The sequence below is a fragment of the Homo sapiens genome, chromosome 12 (assembly GCF_000001405.40).
Source record: "Homo sapiens chromosome 12, GRCh38.p14 Primary Assembly".
NCBI classification, from domain to species: domain Eukaryota; kingdom Metazoa; phylum Chordata; class Mammalia; order Primates; family Hominidae; genus Homo; species Homo sapiens.
In genome coordinates, this window is record NC_000012.12 from 64,694,571 (window position 1) to 64,707,077 (window position 12,507).

At 44.6% G+C, this 12,507-nt stretch overlaps 1 protein-coding gene across 5 annotated transcripts in view; it reads left to right on the forward strand.

Annotated features, from left to right (window-relative positions):
* The window catches only part of RASSF3 (Ras association domain family member 3), a 190,601-nt gene extending 187,607 nt beyond the window's left edge, over positions 1-2,994 (forward strand). For all 5 annotated transcript variants that reach the window (NR_040718.2, XM_047428711.1, XM_011538195.3 and 2 more), the window contains one exon: positions 193-2,994. Coding sequence is in view for 4 of the 5 variants with exons in the window: in XM_047428711.1 (XP_047284667.1) it covers positions 193-342 (150 nt within the window). In the remaining variant the exon portion in view is untranslated. The remainder of the gene's footprint in view (positions 1-192) is intronic.
* The last annotated feature ends 9,513 nt before the right edge of the window (positions 2,995-12,507 follow it).

The following is a 12,507-nucleotide window of genomic DNA, read 5'->3' on the forward strand; positions in this document are numbered from 1 at the left end:
TGTGAGCTGAGGTGGGAGTGGGAGTGGAGGGAGCCCTTAGGCTGGCAACACCCCAGCTCTTGCAGACCACACCTTCTGCGGCATGGGGCTGGGAGGGGAGGGCAGCCGCACCTCTGGGAGCTCCTGGTCAGCATTCCTAAGTCTAACTGAGTATTAAACATCTGGCATTTTTCTTTCTGTGTTTCCTGACAGTGGGAAGCCTTCAGCCTTCCAGAACTACAGAATTTCTTGCGCATCTTGGACAAGGAAGAAGATGAACAGCTGCAGAACCTGAAGAGGCGCTACACAGCCTACAGGCAGAAGCTGGAAGAAGCCCTCCGTGAGGTGTGGAAGCCTGATTAAAGCGGGGCTCCCTGCCCGTGAGGCCCGGTGCAGGACCGATGTACAAAACAGCAGCAAGTGCCTCTCTTCTCAGAGGGCTGCTGTCTTGCCCCACTATGCTAGGGTCTTCGCCTTTCTATCTGTAGATTTTGTTCCCCAAACCTGGTCACACAGCATCCTGCACCTTAGCGTCCCATGTAAGGGACTCTGCAAGCTTGTTGTTCAGCACCGCAGTGTTACCTCTTGGCAAGCTGTGAACCTGTCGCCTCATCAGGAGCATTCGAGGGTGCTTGGAAGCATGAACTCTGGGGGTGTTTTTTTTTTTGGTTATTTTAATTATGTGATGATGCTGTTAAGCTTACAGATATGCAGTTGATTTTTTAAAAAGCTTAACTAGGAATCTTTCTGAATACTTGTCCTATTTTGAAACTACCTGTCTGGTTTTTTGTTTGGTTTTGTTTTCTTTTTTTAATGTCAGAGGAATCTATCCATGTGAATCGAAAGGCACAGGAATCTAGGAACTCTGAGGAATTTATTGTGAAGGATTTTGTTAGGGGGTTGACAGAGAAAGCAAAGTGTAAGTTTGGAAGAAGGCATGTGCGGTGGTGGCGAGTGCTGCGGGCTATGGAAGGTGACTTGGCTTTTCAGTTAGGGGTAGTGGAGAAAGGGGTAGTTGCTTGTAAACGAGTTAAAAGCATTCAGTGTGGAGGTGTTAAACCCATTTTAGGATCGCTTGGTTTCCTGGTGGGTAGAATATGGGAACAGAGCCAGAGGCAGGAGCTAAACCAAAAGGAGGGACCCATGAACTCTGCAGCTGACCAATCAGAGAATCAGGCAGGTGTAGCCTACTGACCTGGGCAGAGGTGGGCCTCACGCAGCTGGATCCGACCCTTTAATTCTGCCCTTTTGGAGTGGAAGGTCTGATTGGTGTAGCTGCTCTGCATAGGCAGGACAGTGACAGTTCACTAACTCTTGTTAAGTTACATAGTGTATAGCTTTCCCCCCACAGGTGGTTTTCAAAGTTGAGACGGAATTTGGGTAGGGGCAGCTGTTTTTCCCTTGATTGTTAGCTAGGATATTTGTCAAGTAAACTTTGGTGACAATCACTCTCTTCCCTTTTATTCCTCCTTTCCTTTTCCTTTCTTCCCTTTTTTCTTTCCTTCCCTGCTGTCTCCCACCCTACCTTGTTCTTTTCCTCCCTCCCTCCCTCCCTCCCTCCCTCCCTCCCTCCTTCCCTCCCTCTCTCTCCCTCTCCCTTTCTTTTCTACATTGAAATCTGTTCTTACATAATAGAGAACAGGGCTATTGAATAAAGACCCAATCCTACCAGATCTTTAGTTCTAAAGGGCAACTTGACTGTGAGTAGGAGGGCCCCCAAGAAAGGGAGGAAAGTCCACACCCAGCTAACCACACAACAGGGCTTCATTATGGAAATATTTTAACAAAAGTACATGTTATTACCAACCAAAGAGATGCATGTGCAATAGAAGCCTTCCTTAAAAACAGGCTAAATAACCTCATTTTATGCAGCAGTTTAATCTGAGAACAGAGGGAAAGGTGTGCAGTGGTTCCAGAGGGGCCTTATATTCTATTTTTAGTCTAGATATTTTTTGTTTATAAATTCCCAAGGAATTGTTAACACTTTGGTGACACCTAATGGATTCTTTTTGAAATTCCAAGGTGCTTCAGTTCTTTGCCCAAGTGAACTGTGCCTTTTATTGCATTTCTGTTCGTCTCTTGGTGGCTCTTCTGACTTTTTGGAGAATACCCATCTTGTTGGAGGCAGACTTAAGTTGTTATGCTGTGCCACACAATTTACTGAGACAATCATATCTTCCTAAGCATTTAAGGAAAGTTGAAAAAAATAGAATTAGCTATAAAATATGTATGGCACATCTTGTTTAATTTTGCATGTAACTTCTCTTTTGTACATTGATGAGGTTTTAGTGACATTGTCATCCAACACTTTACCTTTATTGTTCAGGGAATGCCTTCGTGATTTTTTGTACTGGTTTTATTATTCAGACTATGGCCTGGATTTGAGTATATTGTTATTACCACCTGGTTTTTTAATTATTCATCCCAGTAAACTTATATTTTGTGAAGCATTTGTTTCTCAGATTAAGACACTGTTAGAACCTAAAGTAGTAGCTGATGGGTATCTGTGAATTTTTTTTTTTTTTTTTTTTTTACTTGAAGTAGATTGTCTGAATAGGCATCCTCATCTATATTTACCCAAAACCTCGCTTACTGTCATGTGCACTACAAATTGCAATTTGGAAACCTACTGTATTGAAATTCTGTCAGTTTATGGTTCTTGAAGACTGATGTCCTTTCCCAAACACTGGTTACTGCAGCAGCATTTTTAATGTGTAAGTGAAGAAAAAAGGCCACTAAGGCCAAAGATTTTTTAAGAATCATTGTACAAATCATTATGTTAAACTATCTAAGCTTTGCTGTAATACTGTTTTCTCTTCAATATGTGATGGTACAGGAAGGATGTTAAATGAAGGGGTGGTATTGCAGGAGAGCATTTTAAATGGCAGAAGTAAAAAGTTATAATATTTATAATTTTGATGGGTTTAAGTTTATTTTTGTAGGGAAGATTTTTCTCCCCTAAAATAGTTTCTAGAATGGCAAAATTGTTTCCATTATTAAAAATTGAAGTTATTAGTTGTTTATGTGTGTTTATTTATGATAATATGCTAGATTTAAAAAGGTCACAGGAGTGCGCTGAGCTGCTTTTGCACATATACACAGGGACACATGCTGGAATGCAACAACTTTACTAGGTTCGCGTGGGTCATATTTGTTCTCCCAGATATCATTTTCTCTTTGCCTTATCCTCTGAGGAAAAATAACCCTAAGCTCACACAGCATATTCCAATGTATTTAAAACAATTGTTTTAATTTTTGAAATATACACATTTAAAAGTATATAAAGCATGCAAAAGAGGAGGGAGGCCGAGAGTGAAAAAATAAAAATAAAAAAGCATGCGAACAGTTTAAAGGATTATTATATAAAATGGACACCCCCTGACCATTACTAAAATAGAACCTTGTCAGTTCTTTAGAAATCTCTCCCTCCACCCCTGTTCTTGCCCTGAGGTCTCCTACCCCTGAAACATACCACTTCAACATAAAGTGAGTATTTGTATTTTTTTGGTCACCATGACTGCCTTACACAGATGGGATGGATAGTGTCTGGGGAACCACAGGGACGATGGAGTGCCACCCTCTGCGCACCTGCACCTCGGCTTTGTGCCATGGTTTCAGCTTCCATGCCTGCTGTTGGGAGTGTTTTTACTACTACACTGCCCCCTGGAGGGGCTGATGAAAGGAGCAAGGCTGGCACCAGGTGGTAGAGGCCTTTCACGTACCATAGCTGCTCCCTAAATAAAAATACTGTGATAGAAAATTATGGCTCTGTATAATTTTGCTTTTCTACTGAAATATTCAGAGGAATCAGGTTTGGGGGTTCTACTTGGGTTACTACCCAAGGTGCGTGGAGAATGTTTGGGAATTTTTATATTTTTATCCTTTATTTTTTTTGGAGATGGAGTCTCAATGTGCCACCCAGGCTAGAGTGCAGTGGCATGATCTTGGCTCACTGTAACCTCCACCTCCCAGGTTCAAGCGATTCTCCTGCCTCAGCCTCCCTAGTAGCTGGGATTACAGGTGCCTGCCACCATACCCGACTAATTTTTTTTTTTGTATTTTTAGTAGCGACGGGGTTTCTCCACGTTGGCTAGGCTGGTCTCAAACTCCTGACCTCAAGTGACCAACACACCTCAGCCTCCCAAAGTGCTGGGATTACAGGTAGGACTTTTTTTTTTAAGTCAATTTTTATTACTAAAAAAAAACCTTTTTTTTTGAGATAGAGTTTCACTCTGTCTCCCAGGCTGGAGTGCAGTGGCACGATCTGGGCTCACTGCAACCTCTACCTCCTAGGTTCAAGCAATTGTCCTGCCTCAGCCTCTGGAGTAGATGGGATTACAGGCGTGTGCCACCACACCTGGCTAATTTTTGTATTTTTAGTAAAGACGGGGTTTCACCCTGTTGGCCAAGGTGGTCTCAAACTCCTGACCTCAGGTAATCTGCCGGCCTTGGCCTCCCAGAGTGCTGGGATTACAGGTGTGAGCCACCGTGCCTGGCTCACATGAATATTTATTGAAACAACAGTTATCAGTTGGTGACAAATTCGGAGACACTGTCAGATAACGCTAATTAGGTATTTTGTTTTATTGAAAGAAGGGGGCTGGGCGCGGTGGCTCATGCCTGTAATCCCAGCATTTTGGGAGGCCGAGGTGGGCAGATCATGAGGTCAGGAGTTTGAGACCAGCCTGACCAAACATGGTGAAACCCCGTTTCTACTAAAAATACAAAAATTAGCTGGGCGTGGTGGCGCACACCTGTAATCCCAGCTACTCAGGAGGCTGAGGCAGGAGAATTGCTTGAGCCAGGGAGGCGGAGGTTGCAGTGAGCCGAGATCGCCCCATTGCACTTAGCCTGGGCGACAAAGTGAAACTCCGTCTCAAAAAAAAAAAAAAAGAAAAGGGGCCAGGCACAGTGGCTCATGCCTGTAATCCCAGCACTCTGGGAGGCCAAGGCGGGCTGATCTCTTGAGGCCAGGAGTTCAAGACCAGGTTGGCCAACATGGCAAAACCTCTTCTCTGCTAAAAATATAAAAATTAGCCAGGCGTGGTGGCACACGACTGCTGTCTCAGCTACTCAAGAGGCTGAGGCAGGAGAATTGCTTGAACCCGGGAGGCGGGGTTCAAGCCCCGTGATTGCGCCACTGTACTCCAGTGAGCCGTGAGTACTGCAGTGAGCCATGATTGCGCCACTGTACTCCAGCCTGGGCAACAGAGCAAGACTCTATCTCAAAAAAAAAAAAAAAAAAAAAAAGGGTGGTGGTGAAGGTCTACACTATAGTAGCCAATGCCAACAAAGTGCTTACCATGTGCTAGGCATTCTTCTGAAATGCTTAATATGTATCAACTCATTGACTCTCCTGTGACGTTATCACACTATTTCGTCATATCCCTTTTTTCACAAATGTGGAAATGGACATGTTGAGGTTTAGCAGCTTGCTCAAGGCCACTGTGTGAGTGAGTGGCAGAGCCGGACACTGCCCCGTTTCTCTACCATCTTTTCCTGTAAGTGCTCTCTAGTTTCTCAGTTAAATTGCCTATTGAGTAAAGGAGCAAAAGTCTGTTAAATTGCCGTAATGGACAGTTTGCCCAGAAGCGTAACTGTTTTGGTGCCATTGGGGTTTGTTGATATCAGTGTGTTCTCATCCATTTTGGTTCATTTATCATTTCATTCAGGTGATTATACTAAGTCACATAGAATGAAATGCTGACCTGTGCTTTCTTTTTATTTTTTCGGATGGGGTTTCACCTTGTCATCCAGGCTGGAATGTAGTGGCGTGATTACGGCTCACTGCAGCCTTAACCTCCTGGGCTTAAGAGATCCTCCCATCTCAGCCTCTCAAGTAGCTGGGACAACAGGTGCCTGCCACCACATCCAGCTAATTTTTTTTCATTTTTGTAAAGATGGAGTCAGGCTATATTACCCACGCTGGTCTCAAACTCCTGGGCTTAAGTGATCCTCCTGCTTTGGCCTCCTAAAGGGCTGGGATTACAACCACCATGCCCAGCCCAGACCTGTATTTTCATTTAGAGGTTCTGTTGCATGGGGGAAATAACACGGCAGGTAACCAAACTTAGTGGTCTCACTGTAGTTGGTAAGACAATTCTCCTGGAACCACCAGAAGAACAGCTTCAGTACTACAGAGTGCTATAGGAGCCACAAAACTTGTGCAAAGGTTTGACTCATGGAACCATTCCCCCAAACAAGGCTCATCCTCTGCAGAGAGAAACTAGGAGGTAAGTATTCAAAGTCTAAAGCATATGCTTGTGTGGTGTGAATCACTACTTGCTTAATTGAATGTTCAAGAAAGAAGTTTTATATAAGGATAAAGGTGGGGGGGCAGGTGTGGTGAAGGCTGGAATAGGAGGGAGTGGGGACTAGCTGGGTTATATACCAACAACTCTGAAGCTAAATCATTTATTCCATCTTCAGGCTTGGATCTGGGTTTGGGTTTTTGTTTTTTGTCTTTTGGGGTTTTTTTGCCTGTTGGTTTTGGTTTCATTTTGTTTTGTTTTTTGACAAGTCTTTCCCTATTCCAGGAGATGAGAATAGCAGGGTACAGGATAGACCCCTTTGATCTTAAATAGTGTTTCCAAAGGATGATTGTGGTTCTCACGTGTCTGGCTGAGGCTGCATTTGGCATCAAGTGAACTCTGAAAGCTCCTCTCTTCTTCTTGTTTCTGAGAAATGTGAGCACCTTTAAGTATTATTTACGCACAAACAACAAAACATCAGGGCTCTTTGTAAACCTCAAAAGAAATTGGGATTTGACTTTGTTTTGGGGAGGGAGTTATTTCAATCAGGAGAGTTCATTTTTTTCTCTTTCTAAACGAGGAGTTCCGATTACAATGGGCCTGGGTCATTAAGGGCATCTATCTGGTTTGTGTTTGCTGGCATATGTACTGCCGGCTGTTGAGCCACGCTTTGTGGACACGTGGGATTCATTAAGCCCTCTGTGGTTCCTGTCTCTGAAGTGGCTTTCTAGGGAGGCTCTGCTCTACAGGGTTTTTCCATTTACAGGTGCAATAAAATTTGTTTAAATTCTAAAAATTCTGAAGCAGCAAACTTTAGTGCCTTGCCAAAACTTAGAATTCTTGAATTACTGCTGTTGCAGGCAGGGAGGCAACAGCTTAAATTCAAACCTTTTACTCAGAACTATAAATGGTGTCTTCAGATTCTTTTAAAGATGGTGAACATTTCAAACATTTTTCTTGCATATGTGATCTTTGCAAGGAAAACATTCATAGTCAATTTTGTTTAGGTCAGATTGAGTATTTCGAGGCCTTATTAATAAAAGATGCTTGACTGAGCAGGTAAGGCCAACCATAGAAACTGAGGAACAAAAAGACCAGCTTTCAGAAAACTTCCAGTTCTTTTTTTTTTTTTTTCTGAGACAGAGTCTCACTCTTGCGCCCAGGCTGGAGTGCAGTGGCTCGGTCTTGGCTCACTGCAGCCTGCGCCTCCCAAGTTCAAGCGATTCTCCTGACTCAACCTCCCAAGTAGCTGGGATTACAGGCACCCACCACCACGCCCAGCTAATTTTTGTATTTTTAGTAGAGACAGGGTTTCACCATGTTGGCCAGGCTGGTCTTGAACTGCTAACTTCAGGTGATCCACCCGCCTCGGCCTCCCAAAGTGCTGCGATTACAGAGGTGAGCCACTGTGCCCAGCCATCAGAAAACTTCCAGTTCTATCGCCTTTATCTAGATACAGTTTGTATAGGAGTTTGTGTGTGCTGGGGAAGGAAGTGGGCTTTAAGGGTGTAGTGGTGTTGGGGAGGCCAGAAATAATGTCCCCTTTATCATGGAAAGTTATTTGTTATGAAGGTGGTAGTTAGGAAAAGGCAACGTTTAGGATCTTTCGGAAGATATTTCAAGACAAAATGAGGTTACCACACTATTTCTTCACAGACTGCCTTCGGAACTGTGGAAGGTGCTGAATTTTGTTTTTTCGAGGTAGGTCTTGCTCTGTTACACAGTAGCATGATCATAGCTCACTGAAGCCTCTAGTTTCTAGGCTCAAGCAATCATCCCACCTCAGCCTCCCAAGTAGCTGGGACTAGAGGGGCATGCCACCATGCCCAGCAAATTTTTTAATTTTTTTGTAGAGATGAGGTCTGGCTATGTTGCCCAGGCTGGTCTCGAAATCCTGGCCTCATGATCTTTCTGTCTTGACCTCTCAAGACACTAGGATTATAGGTGTAAGCCACTGCCCAGGCTGATTTTTTAAAGGCAGATTTTTCTGTTCATTGACTCTGAAGCTACTTAATCTGAATCTCTGGTACTGGCCCCTGAGAATCTGCCATTTTAATAAGTGCCCCCTATTTTTTCAAATGCTGACTGCAAATCCTAGAGCTCTACAGAGGGTTTCTGGGGCTGAAGGGATACATCATTGTGCACAGAGTATTTCCCTCATACCCCTTGTTTTGAAATTTTAAATAAATTACTTCCAAATTGAGAGTAATGACTAGCCTGCAAAGAGGCTTTCTGACCTGCCTCACTTAGCCCTGGAAAGGACAATTCTATATACCCTGTTCCCCTGGACCATGGCTAATTGGATCTTAGACCTCTGTTGAAAGGCCATTGATCAACTAGATTTTCTCAAAATTTTATTTATTTATTTATTTATTTATTTATTTATTTATTTAGAGACAGAGTCTCGCTCTGTTGCCCAGGCTGGTGTGCAGTGGCATGATCTTGGCTCACTGCAGCCTCCACCTCCCGGGTTCAAGTGATTCTTGGGCCTTACCCTCCCAATTAGCTGAGATTACAGGTGCCCACCACCACACCTGGCAGATTTTTTTTTTTTTTTTAGTAGGGATGGCGTTTCGCCATGTTGGCCAGCCTGGTCTCAAACTCCTGGCCTCAGGTGATCTGCTCGCCTCGGCCTCCCAAAGTGCTGGGATTACATGCATGAGCCACCGTGCCGGCCATAGCGAAACTTGTGGCCAGCTACTTGGGAGACTGAGACAGGAGAATCTCTTGAACCTAGGAGGCAGAGGTTGCAGTGAGCCGAGATTTTGTCACTGTACTCCAGCCTGGGTGACAGAGTGGGACTCCCTCTCAAAAAAAAAAAAAAAAAAAAAATTACTCTTGTTACTCTTATTCTGTTCTCTCTCTCTACATATATATATATATGTATGTATACATACATATATATATGTATGTATACATACATATATATATGTATGTATACATACATATATATATGTATGTATATAGTGACCTCTATTATCTATTGGCTAGCTTCAAAGAAGCTTGCCAAATGACAAGTGCTGATATTGCTGCTGCAACCAACTTCATAGGTCTTTCAGGAATTTACTGTTTACAAGTGTCTGCAGTATGAAGCTTTAATGCATATGATCTATAATATTCTAACCTAACATTTAAGCTTCCACATTATTGGAAACACAGTCGGGTCTACATGTGGTCTCTTCTTTCCCTCTTTCCCTCCCTCCTTTCTATCTTATTTAATGTCCTTGTATCCTGTGATATCTGTACTCTTTTTTTTTTTTTTTTTTGAGATGGAGTCTTGCTCTGTCGCCCAGGCTGGAGTGCAGTGACACAATCTTGGCTCACTGCAAGCTCTGCCTCCTGGGTTTATGCCATTCTCCTGCCTCAGCCTCCTGAGTAGCTGGGACTACAGGCGCCCGCCACCACGCCCAGCTAATTTTTTTGTATTTTTTTAGTAGAGACAGGGTTTCACTATGTTAGCTAGGATGGTCTCGATCTCCTGACCTTGTGATCTGCCCGCCTCGGCCTCCCAAAATGCTGGGATTACAGGTGTGAGGCACCATCCCGGCCTATTTATTTTTTAATTGAGATGGAGTTTCGCTCTTTTTGCCCAGGCTGGAGTGCAATGGCACCATCTCGGCTCACTGCAACCTCCGCCTCCTGCTTTCAAGTGATTCTCCTGTCTCAGCCTCCCAAGTAGCTGGGATTACAGGCATACATCACCACGCCTGGCTAATTTTGTATTTTTAGTAGAGACGGGGGTTTCTCCATGTTGGTCAGGCTGATCTCGAACTCCCGACCTCAGGTGATCTGCCCACCTCGGCCTCCCAAAGTACTGGGATTACAGGCATGAGCCACCACACCTGGCCTGTTTTTATTTTTTATTTTTCAAGTCCGCACTGCCTGGTCCCATGACCCACCCCCTAGAACTGGGTAGATTATGATGAGTGAGAACATCATGAACTCTGTTATGAAAATCAGAGTCCATGTGTAGTGTAAACTGTTAAGTGTCATAGAGATAAAATTCAGTGTACTATGAGTGTATAACAGGAGGACAGAGAAGGCGTCCTTGAGAAAGTGATTTAGAGCTGAGATCTTGAGGAGGAGGAGGAGGGGTTACCTAGAAGAATAACTTACATGAACATGTTCTGCATGGTGGGGACTGGTGTCTGAGGTCTTTCTTTTTGACAGTGTGTTTTATCGGGATTACTCTTGCCGGTTCGCCGCCTCCCCATGGCAAAAACCTCAATTACTTTTGTACCAACCTATAATATTATAAGCAAAGAACTTTAGGCCTAAATAATTCTCCTCATGTTAAGAGTTCATCTTTGGCAAGGGTGGAGTTAAAATTAACAATGGCAGGCCAGGCGCGGTGGCTCCCGCCTGTAATCCCAGCACTTTGGGAGGCTGAGGCGGGAGGATCACCTGAGGTCAGGAGTTCTAGACCAGCCTGGCCAACATGCACCTAGCTGGGCATGGTGGCGCCCAACTCTCAGCTACTTGGGAGACTGAGGCAGGAGAATTGCTTGAACCAGGGAGATGGAGGTTGCTGTGAGCTGAGATCGCATCACTGCACTCCAGCCTGGGCGACAGAGTAGGACTCTGTCCCCGCCGCCCTCCCCCCAGAAAAATTTACAGTGGCAATTGCTCTGGCTCAAACATATTTTTTCCCCTTGTAAAATGGAGAGGATATCACTTGTTTGCCTACCTCACAGGGCTGCTGTGAGGACCAAATTGGGAATGTGCAAGTATCTTGTGCATTGTAATTCCTGGTATAGCGTGAGATGGTATTATTTTCCAACTATTTGTTCCTACAATAATGTGGCTGTTTCAATTCTGGGCCAATGATAGATGCTTATCTCTCATTCTAGAGGCATCCTAGGTGCCAATTTCCAAGATGGACATTTTTCCAAGCAGAAAGGGTTTTGTTTTCTTTTAAAAATTCATGGCCGGGCGTGGTGGCTCACACCTGTAATCCCAGCACTTTGGGAGGCCAAGGTGGGTGGATCGCCTGAGGTCAGGAGTTTGAGACCAGCCTGGCCAACATAGTGAAACCCCATCTCTACTAAAAAAAATACAAAAATTAGCTGGGCGTGGTGGTGAGCACCTGTAATCCCAGCTACTCGGGAAGCTGAGGCAGGAGAATCGCTTGAACCTGGAAGGCGGAGGTTGCAGTGAGCCAAGATTGCGCCATTGGACTCCAGCCTGGGCAACAAGAGCGAAACTCCATCTCAAAAAATAAAATAAGATAAAATAAAAATTCATGCTAAGGGAAGGAAATAGAGTTAAAAGCAAAACATTCAAGATTCTTAGGGTGATTGGTAGGCCAGATTGTTTAGTGCCTTGCCTTGTGCTCCCTAAAAATACAGTCACAAAGTGTTCTTTCTTCCTTGACAAGATAGAGTCCAAATGCTCAGAGCAGCTGAGACTGGGGATGCCCAGGTTTTCATATCAACATAAGGCACAGAGTGGTGTTGCATGATCCAAACCAGACGGCTGTGTGTCGGTGCAGTCGGGGGCCTTGACCTTTGTTTCTAGTCCATGTTTTTATGCATGTAAATTCTCCCCTAGATAGTAATCTCCTTGGAGACTGGACCATATCTTCAGTTCACTTTGCATCTCTCCTAGCTGCAGGGCACAGCATTTGTGGGACTAAACATTTCATAGACATGTCTGGAAACAGCTAGTTGGGCAGCTTTGAGACAGGAAGGTAGCCCTCTACAGAGAGACCCGGAGCTGCAGCTTCCTGCTGCTCCTCATCCAGCCAGTGTTCACCTTTGGCTGAACTCTTAAACAGGACCTTCGTTGGCATTACAGGAAGAAGGAGAGGGGCCAGGATGATTGCAGGCCAGAGTGTTGTTATCCCCTGCTGTGCAGAGGACCAGACGTGGCATCATGGGCTTCATCCTCTGTGGGAGCATTGATGGGCATTGAGCTTTAGGCTGAAGCCTGCCCTGATAGATGACAAAGTGAATAGTCACTTGCACCAGACTGCTGGAAAGAACCCGAGTTGTCATGTTGATCTCAGGCCTAATTAGTGTGCTGCTCACTTAATCTGGGAGACGCTGGGTAAAAGGGACTGGGAGAAAATGTACACGAAGCAGCCCCTTTCTTAGGGACTTAAGTGGGAACAGAATCAATTGTGCATCTGAGCTACTTTCCCATCGTTGGGAGGAGGAAGGGAGAAGTGACTGATGGTCTTGATTTGGACAACAGGTGCCTCGGAAACCCAGCCAGAATCTTGGCGTGCTGCAGCTGCTGAGGGGCCACTCTCCCAAGCTGCAACTCTCCCTCGCAC